The sequence below is a fragment of the Homo sapiens genome, chromosome 7 (assembly GCF_000001405.40).
Source record: "Homo sapiens chromosome 7, GRCh38.p14 Primary Assembly".
NCBI lineage: Eukaryota > Metazoa > Chordata > Mammalia > Primates > Hominidae > Homo > Homo sapiens.
Window position 1 is genome coordinate 156,471,528 of NC_000007.14, and position 14,128 is coordinate 156,485,655.

At 44.2% G+C, this 14,128-nt stretch overlaps 1 long non-coding RNA gene across 2 annotated transcripts in view; it reads right to left on the reverse strand.

Moving 5' to 3' along the window:
* Positions 1 to 571: 571 nt before the first annotated feature.
* RNF32-DT (RNF32 divergent transcript) overlaps positions 572 to 14,128 on the reverse strand; it is a 168,437-nt gene continuing 154,880 nt past the window's right edge. Inside the window, exons 3-4 of one of the 2 annotated variants that reach the window (NR_026865.2) lie at positions 9,138 to 10,093; positions 572 to 1,184 (exon numbers count right to left, since the gene is read on the reverse strand). This is a non-coding gene — a long non-coding RNA (RNF32 divergent transcript). The remainder of the gene's footprint in view (positions 1,185 to 9,137; positions 10,094 to 14,128) is intronic. The other variant, NR_103858.1, reaches the window with a different exon arrangement.

Consider the following 14,128-nt stretch of genomic DNA (forward strand, 5'->3'; position numbering starts at 1 on the left):
CTCTCCTTTGCCTCTGCCCTTTGCTGAGAAAAAGCCTCTTCAGCAATCACTCATTGCTTCCCAGCCCGTAGAGCAAGGACAGGCTACTTGGCTCTCTCCGTCAGAAGCTTTAAAACAAGAACCAAATCCTGAAAGGCCTGAGAAGAAGGAAAAAGCAGAAAAAAAGCTGAAAGCTGACGTGGAATCCCGGTTCCAGGAGCCGCTCTCATTCTGCCAGGCCGGGATGCAGTATGAGCCTCTTTCCATCTGATTTGTCTTTTGTTCCAGTACCTGGCCTATTAAGTGCTTGTGAATGAAGAGAACTGATATTCACTAAATTCCTACTATGTGCCGAGGACTACTCCACGTTCTTTCCATAGCTCATCTTTACCAGTTAGCTCATCTTTACCAGTGGAGGTGAAGAGATGAGGACGCCCAAGGTCAGAAAGCTTGCAGGTGGCTCAGGTTGGCAAGGTTTATAAGCGTGGGGATTGCAGTAGAAGACCTAGCCCGGTACAAGCTTAGAACACACTTCATCAATACTCATCGAATGCTTGAGTCAATACATGTCAAATAATAGAACAAAGGACTTAGTTCTGTTCCCATACTAGGAGAAACATGGGCCTTTATTGCACCTCAATAGGGAGGGGGTTGGAGGGACCAGATATGCATGCTTGAGGCTTTGTGGTGGTGAAGACGTGGCCCCTTCATGAGCAGAGTTAACATGCAGGTGCACTAACATAATACTCCCCCACTGTGGAGACCGTTACGACACATGCCTATGTTCCTTATTCTTGAGGATTTTAAACCTTCGGAAAGACAAACCCATGGGGACATTACGTGCTCATTCACGTCCCTGCCCTGTTTCCAAAAGATCATCATGTTCTGCAGATTCTACTTCCAAAATGTCTTTGAACCTGGCCCACCCAGGGGAACTCCCTTCCTCTGATTCCACTGGTCAGAGCCTCTCACAAATGAACTCATCTCTCCTCACTTATTACTGACTACGATATCCCCATTGCCCGGTACAATGCCTGACACACAATAGGTGCTCATTAAACGTCTTTGGATGAGTGATTGAGGGAACGAAGCCATCTCCTGGTCCTGCGTGCTTTGCCTGTCATTCCATCCTCCTCACCGCTGCAGAGTCCTCTTTCTAAAGCACTCATCTGTCTTGAGAACGGAGGGCTGAGAAATATTCTTCCCTGAGAAAGAAAAGACACTGCTTAATCTCAAAATATATGTTCAGCAAGAGGAATATTTTTATAAAAATAAAGGATAAGCTGAAAGAATGTAAGCAGAAGCTGTAATTTCAGCAGTGGCATTTACCCCGTTTGTTTTAAGCATTGGCAGTGTATATTACCCTGCATTAGCCGCAAGGATAAACAGTGTTTTCAGATTCAAATATGTCAATTACAACATTCCTGGATATTCGGAGGTCTTTTCCTGTTCTATTTCTTACGCTGTTCCTCTCAGAGTTCAAATCAAACCTCCAAAAACTATTTTTTTTTGTTCATTGTGAGCTCAGCGTGGCTAATCTTAATTTTACTACTCTTGTGAAAACATCCAAAACCAAATTTGCCTTGGTAAGAAAAATTCATCATACAAAATGTCATATGTTTTTATTATCTGTTCACATAAAAACAGTATTAGTAAGGTTAGAGGTAAAAAAGTAAATGTAAATCTTAAACATAGTTTCTGAACTGCCTTGTCACTGAGAGTTAAAAATCCTCTAGCAACCTAACCCTTTGCATCTGACATTATTTTTTGTGACTATTCCTCTAGTGAAATAAGTCACTGACACTTTAGTGTAAGTTACTCCTAGTAAATCACTTTTACACAGGTTAAAGGGAAGCACAACAGAAAAACTGTAAGGAAGGTGGTGCAGATATCCAGATTTTGCCCAGGACAGCCTAAGCAGAAAGCTGCTTCCCTCACTTCCCTCCAAAGTCAAGAATTGAGAGGGAAGATGGCCTTCCAATTCCAGCCACTGATGAGAATAAATTCCGGAAAAACATATTAAACATAGCGTTTGACGCTTCTATCCACAGCTGGAAACATTACACAAATTTTAGTGAGCCCTGAATGCCAGCAGCCATAATTCCCAAATTCTTTTTTAAAATAATGAACTAATCCAGGTGAAGGACCTGCGGCTTGGCGCCATCTGGTGCCTGCACAGAGAAAGAACGTTCCATCGAGGCTGCAGTGCTGAGTCCCTTTGTTAGTCCAAGTGGGGAACACTTTTTAAAAACACAACCGTTGTCTTTCATCACAGTAAATCCTAAAGTGCTACTAACAACAAACTCAATCTGAAAATAAACTTGAAAATTATTTATAGTTTTTCCAACAATGATCTTATTTTGAGAGAGAATACATTAAGTTCTGCTAATACCAACCCTGGGCTCTTACAACATAGTGACTTCTACTAACTCTTTCTATGTGCATATGTTTTTTTAAATGATAAAAGCATTTTCCACAGGGGGATGCCAGTGAACTTTCTTTATCATTGAAGTGTACAGCACAAATGAGAACTTTTTCAAACACTGTTCCTAAGGCAACAAGATGCTACTTCCTAAAAGATATATTTAAGGGGCTAAATCTAAAGTTGATTTGAAAATTGGAAAAAAAAAATGAAAATGTTGATTATCCAAAATAATTAGGGAAATAAAACTGCAAAGATCTCAGAGTAGAATATTTTTACTTCTCAAAATATGGGCCTCGTTTCCTAGTTGTATCTGCCTGCAAAGGAACGGAACTAAAAGGCCAAAGCTCAGGGTCAACCCGGCTTCCTCAGCCCTGGTTGGATACATTCATCTGCATGCTCAGAACCAAGCTGACACCCATGAATGGAGATGAGTCACTGCGTTTACAAAGTTGTGGTTAAACATAGAAGGGTTTACTTCGCTTGTTTCATCCTTGCTTCTAATTTCTTCTTGACTTCAGTTCATCGTACAGACAGCCACTGAGTTAACTCTTCTCCAAGCAGTAGTTGGCTTCTGGGATGATGCTGACCCACCATCTTATTTCATCAGTTTTCTCCATGGTTCACCCCATATTCTTCCACACAAACTCAGTATTTCAGCCCGACTGGCACAGGAGGTGGCTTCCAAATACATCATAAACCTTCTCACCTGGTATTCTTCCTTTCTAGAATATTCTCTCCCTTCCTCTCTCATTACCTAAAGCCTCCAGGCTCCCGTTCAAGTCCCATTGTTTCCCTAAACACTTTCTGCAGGGGCTCCAAGTTGTGATCTCTCCACGTTCCTTGGTGCGGATAGTAGATTCTACACATTCATTTGGGAATTTCTGTACAGAATTGACATTTTTATTTTTATTTTTGAATTACACATTATTTTCCCAGCTAGACCATGAGATCATTCAATTTAGGAGCTATTTTATAGGTTTGGACACTAAACATTTTACAGTGTCCAATGATGATAACTAGTACTTGTTGGCAGTTGTTACATAATTGCTATGTTTTAAGTGATTTATCTAAAAACTCTTTAAGGTAGACGCTATTATTCCCTTCACTTTAAAGATGAGGAAACTGAGCAAAAAAGGTAAAGCCATTGAGCGGGAACATGATGGAGCTGGAATCCCACCCAGCTCTGCCTGCTCTGCAACCCACGTCTGCATGGCCATGTGAACCTACACCTCAGCACAGGCTCGAGGAGACGGCAATCAGTGACAGACAGCAGGCTTGTGCATGTTTAACTGAGAAGGCTGAGAGCAGCCAATGCTAATGAACACTTCAAGTCCACCACATCCTCCAGCCACAGCCATGCAGCCACACACCACACACTACTACCACTGTCCACACTCAATCCCTGCGGCTCACCACACACGGAGGGGGGTGCTGGCATGAAGGAGGAAGCATGTCAGGCTTCTCAGCCTCACGTCACCCACTGGCCAGGTGCTAACCTCAGATGACTGACTCCACCTCTCTGACCCTTGGCTTTCTCGTTCCTATAATGGAGCCAATCATGCACTCTGTGCAGGGTTGCTATGAGGGTTACAAGAAACCCATACAAGGAACGTCAGAAGCAATGTCCCCAAGGCAGCTGGTCACTGGCAGTTATCTGTTAGTCTGTACAACAGGTCTGGCATCTCCCTTGAGCTATAAACCAACCATAGACTGCAGTCCCACGTCTACAGGATGGATGGCCCACAGGCTCATCCCCACCACTCCCCATGCTCCTGCCACACTGAGCTCCGTCGCTTGACAACCTCAGAGCTGCTTACTGCCCCAGGAATAACAAACCTAATTCTTTCAGGACGTGGCCTGGCCCATTTCCCTTGCTTCCCACGTGCAATGTGCCTTTCTGGAATGCCTGTCCACTTGGCAGACTCCTACTCATCTGGATGACTCAGCCCAAAGCCAGCTCCTCCCAGGAGTGTCCTCAAGTCCCTAAACAGGGCCAGCCCTGCCTCCACCCCACCCCCCCATGCTCAAGCAGCTCCTTCCTCCATTTTGATCTTATTTCATGCCTGATCAACCTCATTGATGTGTCCTGAGCCCTGGGCTGCAGGCTCTTGAGGGCAGAGTTCGCATGCTTGCCTGGTACAAGGTGCTCAGTAAACGCTGATGGAATGAATGCACAAATGCACAAGCAGATGAGAGAGAAGGAAAGAAAACAACAAGAAGAGATGGAGACCAGGAGAGGCCGTGAGAAGGGAAGAAGGAAGAACAGGAAGGGAAGGGCACGTGGCCTAGGACCTGAAGACAGCAAGTGGGCACACTGCCATCCCCCCAACTTATAGGGTCCACATGGGAGACACCCATGCTTTGTGTCCTCAGGGTCCCATCAATGCCCTACTCAGGCAGAGGAGAATCCCAAATCCCACCTTCCTTCTCCTCCAAAAGAAACCACTCTGTGTCCATCTCTCATGGTGCCAGATTCCACTAGAGGAGGTGGGAAGAGTGGTTAATGAGTTTGAATCCAACATGGCTTTGAGAGCACCAAAAATCCACACCAGGTTTTTCTCTCTGCAAAGCCCTCTGTCTCCTCCAAGCAACCAGCTTACAACTTCCCCAGTGAGCGAGTCATGGAGCCAAAGTCAATCCATTTCTATCTCCAACCCCTGCCCACAGCACGTCCCTGCATGGGGAAAAGCACGGACAACAGGAAGGTTTAGCATGGGTATTACAAAAAGGGCTTCAGAAAATTATATTGAGAGGCTTTGCAGTCTTCAACTACCTATAAGTCCACCTCATTTTTAACTTTGGGGGGCATCATCCATGTTTCTGTATGATTTTTAAAGCTTCGTCCAGCAGTAGGTTCATGATCAGGCAGCCTCTCTCAGGTCCCAAGAACACCGTGGGGAAGTGCACAGGGCTCCCAGCCCAGAATCCCTGTCTGTGACCACAAGGGTTTGCTTTCCTTTGTGAAATGTATGTCACTCTCCTTCTCAAGAAACTTCAGCAGGGGAAAGCTCAAAGCTTTTCCTCTAAGATCAGAAACAAGACAAGGATGTCCACGCTCACCACTTCTACTCAATGTAGTACTGGAAATCCTAGCCAAAGCAATTAGGCAAGAGAAAGAAAGAAAAGACATTCAAATTGGAAGGGAAGAAGTTAAATTATTGTTGTTAGCAGACAACATGATCATATCTATGGAAAACCCTAAAGACTCCATCAAAAAACTATTAGAACTAATAAATGAATTCAGTAAAGTTTCAGGATACAAAATCAACATACAAACATCAGGAGCCTTTTTGTACACTAATAGGGAAATATTGGAAAAAGCAATGAGGAAAACAACACCATTTACAATAGCTACAAAAAATAAAATAATTAGAAATAAATTTAACCAAGGAGGTGTAATATCTCTACACTGAAAACTATAAAACATTGATGAAAGACACTAAAAAGGAAATAAAAAGATATTCATGTTCATGGATTGGAAGAATAATATTGTTAAAATATCCGTATGACCCAAAAGTGATCTACAGATTCAATATAATCCCCATCAAAATATCAACGATATTCTTCACAGAAATAGAAAATATATAATTTATATGGAACCACAAAAGAACAGCCAACGTTATCCTGAGCAAAAAGAGCAAAGCTGGAGGCATCACATTACCTGACTTCAAAATATACTACACAGCTATAGTAATTAAAAGAGCATGGTGCTAGCACAAAAACAGACACACAGACAAATAGAACAGAATAGAAAGCCTAGAAATAAATCTGTGTGTTTATAGCCAGGTGATATTTAGCAAACATGCCAAGAACACCCAATGGAGAGAGGAGAGTCTCTTCAAAAAATGATATTGGGAAAACTGGATAGCCACATGCAGAAGAATAAAACTAGATCCTTGTCTCCCACCATGTGAAAAACCTACTTAAAATGGATTAAAGATTTAACTGTAAGACCCAAAACTATGAAACTACTGGAAGGAAACACAGGGGGAAACTCCAAGGCATGGGCGTCTGCAGTGATTTCTTGGATATGACCTCAAAGCACATGCAACAAAAGCGAACACAGACAAATCGGAATGCATCAAACTAAAAAGCTTCCATACAGCAAAAGAAACAATCGACAGAGTGAAGAGACAACTTAAGAATGGGAGAAAATATTGCAAAACTGTGCATCTGATAAAGGGTTAGTCCCCAAAATACATAAGGAACTCAAACAACCTAATAGTAAGAAAACAACCCAATTTTTAAAAATGGACAAAAGATCTGAAAAGATCCATCTTTGGATCCCATGTTGTCCAAGCCTGAATTCTTGAGAAAATTCTTTTCTGTGAGGGACGAGCCAGGAGGACTGAGATGGAAGTGAGGATAAAGGAGGTAACAAAGTTGTGTTTGATAGTGACGCTTCGGACGACGGCCTCAGAGATTCTCCGAATGGCAGGGTGGGAAGGCTATAATGGTCCTAAACTACTTCTTCATGTCCCAGTAAAGAAACTGAGGCACAGGGAGTCCAGTGGCTCACCCAGGAACCCCAGGTCAGGGCCTTGGACCAGGGCTTGGTAGCTCTGCCTCTGCTGACCCTGGAGGCAGTGACTTCAGGAGGTGAGGAAGCCCTGGGTGCTGCCCAGCCCGAGGCAGGCCTCCTGGGTCAGACGTTCCTGCTGCCTGAGGTCCGTTCATCCCAGCCACCCTCCCCAGCTGCCGGCTCCCCTTGCCTTGCAATTCACATGCCAGCCTCGGGGCTGCCAGCCGAGCTCATCCTTGTGTCCTCCAGCACCCACCACGTCCTCCCTGCCCGCTGCGGGCCTTGGCACCTTTGCCAGGGCTGCCCCCACCCCCAGCCCCAGCTGTCTCGGAGGTGTCAGAGCCTGAGAGTCACCCCCAAGAGCAGCCCTCTCTGACCCACCAGGCAGGCCATGCGACTGCCTATGTGCTCCTACAGAGGCCTGTGCCCCACCCTGGTCCACAGCTGACCTGTGTGCTGCACACTCACCTCCTTGCTTATCTGTGTGACTCCGGTTGGAGGGCTTTCTCCTCACTAGGCTGTCAATTCTGAGGGCATGAACCGAGCCTATCTTGTTTCTGCATCACTGTGGGGCCCAGCAGGGCCCAGCACCCAACAAATGTGTGTTGAATTGGGCCCCCTGAGCCGAGGGTGTGGATTAAACGACCCCCACAGAGCCCTTCTAGCCAAAAGGTCTGCCATCTCAGGGGTGTGTGTGTTGACAGAGAGAGGGAGGGAAATCAATTTAAAGTGAGAGAGAGAAAAAAAAATGCTGCATCTACAGTTCTTATTTATTTTTCCATTCCAATTTTATGTAATTCACAATAAAAAGATGCTCAATGTCATTACTCATTAGGAAAATGCAAATCAAAACCACAGTAAGATAGCACCTCACACCCACTAGGATGCTATAATCAAAAACTGGGAAAGAAGTGTCGGTGAGGACATGGAGAATGGAGGTCCTCACACAGTGCAGCAGGAATGCAGAGTGGTACAGCTGCTATGGAGAATAGCTTGTTCCCCACAAGTTAAGCATGGAATTACTGATTGGTGGTATCGTTGGATATTCACTGGAATATAATACTCGCCATCATGACTGCTACTGTTGTTTTACTCAATAGTTATGAAAAGAGGGAAAAAACAAAGCTTTATAAATTAAATCTATTATATCAACCCTTGAAGGAACACTGTAGTAAATTATTTTATAATTGTTCTATAATTCACCCTGTAATTTATTGATCTATAATTCTTTTGGGAGAGGCAGACCTGTATCATTAGCACTGTAACATCAGTTAACACTTCCCTTAAAGCAAAGGATGTAGCAATATCCCCCAAATTAAGTAATAACGTGCAGCTCTTACTGACAGTGTTTTAAATGACACTCTCTTGGGCAAGTAGAGGCATAATGGCTGGGCTAGTGAAACAAGAAAAAGAAAGAGGAGGGGAGAGAGAGAGAAGGAGATGAAGACAGAGGGAGGAAAGAAGGAAGAGAGAGAGAAGGGGGAGGTTGGGGTGGGGATAGTTATCTTGAACACTTGAAGCGTGTGGTCAGACACTCAGCCCTTTCAGTGTCACAATGATGAGTGTGTAAGAGTGTGCGTGTGTGTGTATGTTTAGATGGCTAGGGAATGCGATTCTGAAAGTTTCCAGAGATAGAGAATTGCTCAAAAGGGAATCCCAAACCCAAGTAACAGCCAATAAGCTCCATTCCAGGACACATGAGGTTCTAAGAAGGGTGAAGGAGAATTGAGTTGTACTTTACCCGGTTCACTTTCTGGCAAGTGCTTCTTCCAAATAAGGGTGCACAAGCTACTGCAGAATCCCTAGGGGAAAAGATATTCTAAGACATAGAAACAGAATCTGCAGGGTGACTTAGAGATGTTCTTAGTGGGTAAAGAACTTCTCGGGCTAGTTTCCTGTCGGAGACACTATCATTCAAAATATCTGACTGCTATTTATTTGGGAGTTCCAAAATTTCCTAAAGTAGGGAATGAAATAATGGTAGGACATTTTTAAAATAAAAATGGGTTCTGTGCAGCTAATTGGTTACTAATGTTTAAATTGTGCAGACATATGCCAAGCATCTGAGCTTTTGGAGAGATAACACATCATCCTTGCTGATAGACTGCTCCATAGCAGACACTGTCGCAAAAGCACCCTCAGAAATGAAACAGCGCGGGCCAGGGAAAATAGTAAATTCAACCTCACTCACGAAAAAGTAAGAAAACACACCACGTTAGGCATCCGCATGCTCCGTGGAAGCCCAGCCTTCACCTTCAGAGATGTGTCAGGAGGAGGTGCCACTGCTGTCCCAGTGCCAACCTCGAAAGGCTTAGCCATACCTCTTCCACCCATTTTACACTCGCTGCTCGTGTTTTCAGGCTGTATCCCATCTTGAAGTGAAGACATTCTTTAAGTTGGCTGCCCCACGGCGTTGGTGGCCATGAGAGGAAACGTGAGGCTCCGTCATTCTGTGATTAGGTGGAGACGTCTGAGGAGCTGCGTGAGGAGCAGGCAGGTGCTCTGGATGTAACCTGAGACAGCTTTGGCTTGTTTCCTACTGTCCCTTTTAAACCTGTTCTCTGGACACTCTCTGTCCCTGGATGAAAACCCAGGTGGGACGTATACATTTTCTAATCAGTCCCAGGAAATAAGAAGCGCTTTGGCCACGTGAAGTCAACAAATGCATCCAAAGTCAGCAATTTAAAATGCCCAGTCTGCTCCAGACACCAAAAACTCTGCCCTGAATAAATCGACCTTTGCCACCCCACCAAGGCCGCTATGGCCACCCAGCTCCTGCTGCAGCTCCACGGTTCATGACGCTCCTCCTCCAGCTGGCAGCTTAGGTGCCTGATGCCATCAGCCACCACCAAGTATGTCTTTCTTGTTGGGGTTCAAGGGGCTGTGGGAGGCAGGAGAGATCCAAGGGCAGGCGAGGTCTTACCCGATGACACCATCATAAGTCAGCTTTGGTCCCGCAGCCTGGCCAATGGTTGATGCTGCCCTTTCTCCAGTGGGTCAGAGCCCATTGATGGACTTGACACCTGTATCCCTGGAGGGTCTGTCCTCAGCAGTGGGCTGCAGCCCAGGTGAATTCACTCCTCTCCCAAACTTGCTCCCTCCCTAAATGCCTCCAGGAATCTGAAGACCATCAACAGGTTCTTTGGAAAGAGTTAATAGGAAAACTTCTGGAGAAACGGATACAGAAAAAGACAGAAGATACAACAAAGAAATGTTAGTCATGAGTAAAGAAACAGGATGCCAGATATAATTCTTAAAATGATTTAATGCCAAAAATGGGAACACGTGGACAAAGATAACTTTTTATAGTATAACTTAGAAGAACTTGAATATAAATAGAATTCCTGAAGAATCTGTTCACTATTAAAGAAACCAAAGCCATAGTTAAGGGTTTTCCTAGAAAGAAAACACAAAGCAAGATAGTTTTTACAAGTGAGTCCTAACAAATTTTCAGGAAACAGGTCATTGCAATCTCATGCAATCTTATTTTTCTAGGGAATAAAAAGAGGACTATCTCCACCTTATTCCATGAGGGTAGTGTAACCTTCCTGTTGAATTGAGGCAAGACTAACCTTATTCATGAATATACATGCCAAAATCCTAAACGAAATATTAGTGAATCGGCCCCAGCAGTGAATAAGAAAATACCTCATGCCATGGCCATGTTTGATTTATTTTAGAAATTCAAGAGTGTTCTAATATTTGAAAATTCATGAACTTCATTCATCATATCAAAAGATTAAAGAAGAGTAGGCTGGGCACGGTGGCTCATGCCTGTAATCCCAGCACTTTGAGAAGCCGAAGAGGGTGGATCACCTGAGGTCAGGAGTTCAAAACCAGCCTGGCCAACATGATGAAACCCTGTCTCTACTAAAAGTACAAAAATTATTCTGACATGGTAGCAGGTGCCTGTAATCCCAGCTACTTGGGAGGTTGAGGCAGGAGAATCGATTGAGCCTGGGAGGCAGAGGTTGCTGTGAGCTGGATCACACCACTGCGCTCCAGGCTGGGTGACAGAGTGAGACTCTGTCTCAAAATAGAAAGAGAAAGAGAGAGAGAGAAAGAGAAAGAAAAAGAAAGAAAGAAAGAGAAAGAGGAAGGAAGGAGAAGAAAGAAAGAAAGAGAGAGAGAGAAAGAAAAAGAAAGAAAGAAAAGAAAGAAAGAAAGAAAGAAAGAAAGAAAGAAAGAAAGAAAGAAAGAAAGAAAGAAAGAAAGAGAAAGAAAGAAAGAAAGAAAGAAAAAGAAAGAGTATTACCTGGTTATCTCAAATGGAGAAAACACATTTGATCTCATCAAACATCATCCAAGCTAGGAATAGAAGGACACGTCTTCAGTCTGGCAGAGTGTGTATGAAATACTTCCCATGAACATCGTTCTTCATGAGAAAACCGTGGAAGGAACATTCCCTCCAAATCAGGCCCAGGCCAGATAGGCCCAGTGGCTGCCGTCAGCACCGCCCCGGACATCAGAGGTAACGCTATAAGGAAGCTGGAATGTGTTAAAGTCAGAGGCTTGGAAAGGAAGAAATAAAGCCAGTATTGACTCCAAAGATAGAACTGGCCATAGGGAAAATCCAGTCCACATGGGAAAAGACATTAGTCTCACTGGTCATCAGCTGCATGTAAACGGAGCACAGTGAGACCCACTCTATGTCTACTCTACAAGCAAAAGTTAAGAGTTCTGACAATACCAAAGTTTAGAGAGCATGTGGACCCTTGAATCACAGAGAGAAACTTGCACAACCTCTTTGGAAAGCAACTTGTTATCATGTTGTGAAGGTGAGGGTTTGCCTAGACACAACAATCCCACCTCAGGGTACATATCCCAGAGAAAGCCTCACGCCTGCACCTGAAGAAGCATTCAGTGTGTGAATAGCAGGAGAGTCTGCAATAGTCAAAGAAACAATTCCGGTGTTCTCAGTTGGGGAATGGACAAATTGTGGCAGAGTCACATAAAGGAATGTTATGCAGCTGCAAATGGATGGATAGCGGCTCTATGCAGTAACAGCTAAATCTCACCATTATCCACATATTTCTAGAAGAATAGGAGCAGGCAAAGCAGCTGGGAGAAAATCGTCCAGCATACATGACAGACGCCAAGAGCAGAGACTCAGGTATAGGCCAGAGGTGAGCAGATTGGAGAGGTGCTTAGGGGTCACATGAAGAGGGCGTGGTAATCCACTCGCTATGGGAAGTGCCGTGCTGAGGCCTGGGTTTCATGGGTTAGGTGATGCTGTTCTCTGAGAGGGGAGACAGGAGGAGGGGGAGACAGGAGGGGGAGGGAGAAGGGGGCATGACGTAGATCCAGATAGGGTGGGGAGAGACACACTGAGAAGGGAATGAGGGGAGACCACGCAGAGAGCAAGAAAGACACATGGCCAGGAGGCATACGTGCCAAGACCCCAAGGCAGGAGACGGTTTACTGTGTTCAGAAACATTCAGAATCCCAGAAGCCTGGAAAGACGCAAGGTGTGGGAGGCAGCTGAGATGGGAACAGCCTGGGAGCAGCAAGCACTCAGCAAATGTTAGCGATCGTCCTCTCTCAGCTTCTCAAAGTGCCTCAGTGTATCAGGTATCCCAGCTTCAGAAGCATGGAGAGATTGCCCTTCAGTAATTCCAACAGTTACTGGAATAACACAAATAATCATTTCTTAATTTATGTTGATGTCATCTCAGTTGTGTTTTGTTTTGTTTTGTTTTGTTTCTTTTTGTGAGACAGAGTCTTGCTCTGTCACCCAGGCTGGAGTGCAGTGGTGTGATCGCTGCTCACTGCAACCTCCATCTCCAAGGTTCAAGCGATTCTCCTGCCTCAGCCTCCTGAGTAGCTGAGATTACAGGCGTGTGCCACCATGCCCAGCTAATTTTTGTATTTTTAATAGAGATGGGGTTTTACCACATTGGCCAGGCTAGTCTCGAACTCCCCACCTCAAGTGATCTGCCTGCCTTGGCCTCCCAAAGTGCTGGGACTACAGGCGTGAGCCACCGTGCCCAGCCCTCATTTCTTAATTTATTTCTACATTACTGAATTTTCCCCCTCAGGCTATGTAAGTTACGTGTAAATCAGTATTCTGTCTCATTCAAGCTTCTTCTTTCAAGCCTAAAATTTCCAATTTATCAAATTTTTTTCTAAACAAGGAGCAATAATGATGAGATAGAATGGCATGTTGATATAGTTATCCCAAAACCCAAAATTAGACTTTCATCTACAAAACAAACCCACAAAATCCATTAGCATGCTATTCATTTTGCCATTTTCCTCTGGGTCGAGCCCATTTCAAAAAGAACCTTCATTACATAAAATCACAGAATACCTGTCCCACAGCGAGAAAGAGATAGATCAGGTAATTGAAGCCCACGGGTAATCCAGAAACCTCATTTCAGTTCAATTTCAAACCCTTCTGTCATCAGTACTTTATATCCACACTCAGGTAACGAAATTGGTTGATTTATGAACTTGGACAAGTTCCTTGATCTCTCTAGGCCTCCATATCCTCAGTCGTCAAGTGGAGAGGCTGACAGATGGTCCCTGCAAAACCCCAACAGTCCCAGCACCCACACCTCTCCTCCCATCCCCATAGGCTGGAGTGCTGTTGAAGAGACCTCAAAAATCGATCATCAATGGATTAGCAAAAAAGACATTGAAACTTAGATTCAGAATTTACGCATTTTCAGGCTATAAAATATCATGCCTAAGAGTAAGACAGTACCAGCCAAGAAAGTAGGATATTGTGACTTTATTCTGTGCCAACCATAAATAAAAGGAGAGAAAAGCTAAATAGAGAGGGCTGTAAGTGAGTGTCAGGAGATACTTATCTAGGAGATGACTCTGTGGTAGAAGAGAAAGAAGAGATAGAGGACAACAAATAGAACCCAGTATATAGGATATACACCCACGTTTTCAAAGTGCAACAAAAATGTTTAGAATGTCACCAACTTTAACTGCTTAATTTACCAAAGACTGTCAACTCAGTTTAGTGGCTAATACTTTTTATAGTTATTTGTTCTGAGTTTAATCACAACAAAGTGCAAGAAATTCTTTCCCCAAAATTCACATTACACCCAACTTTGCCAGAACACATAGCATCAATAAGGAAGGGAACCGACATAGACCAGTGGTTCCGCAATCTTGGCTGTGGACTGGAATCACCAAATCTTTTCTGCGGGTTTTTTAAAGGCTACTGCCAGAGCTCCACCCTAGGGAGT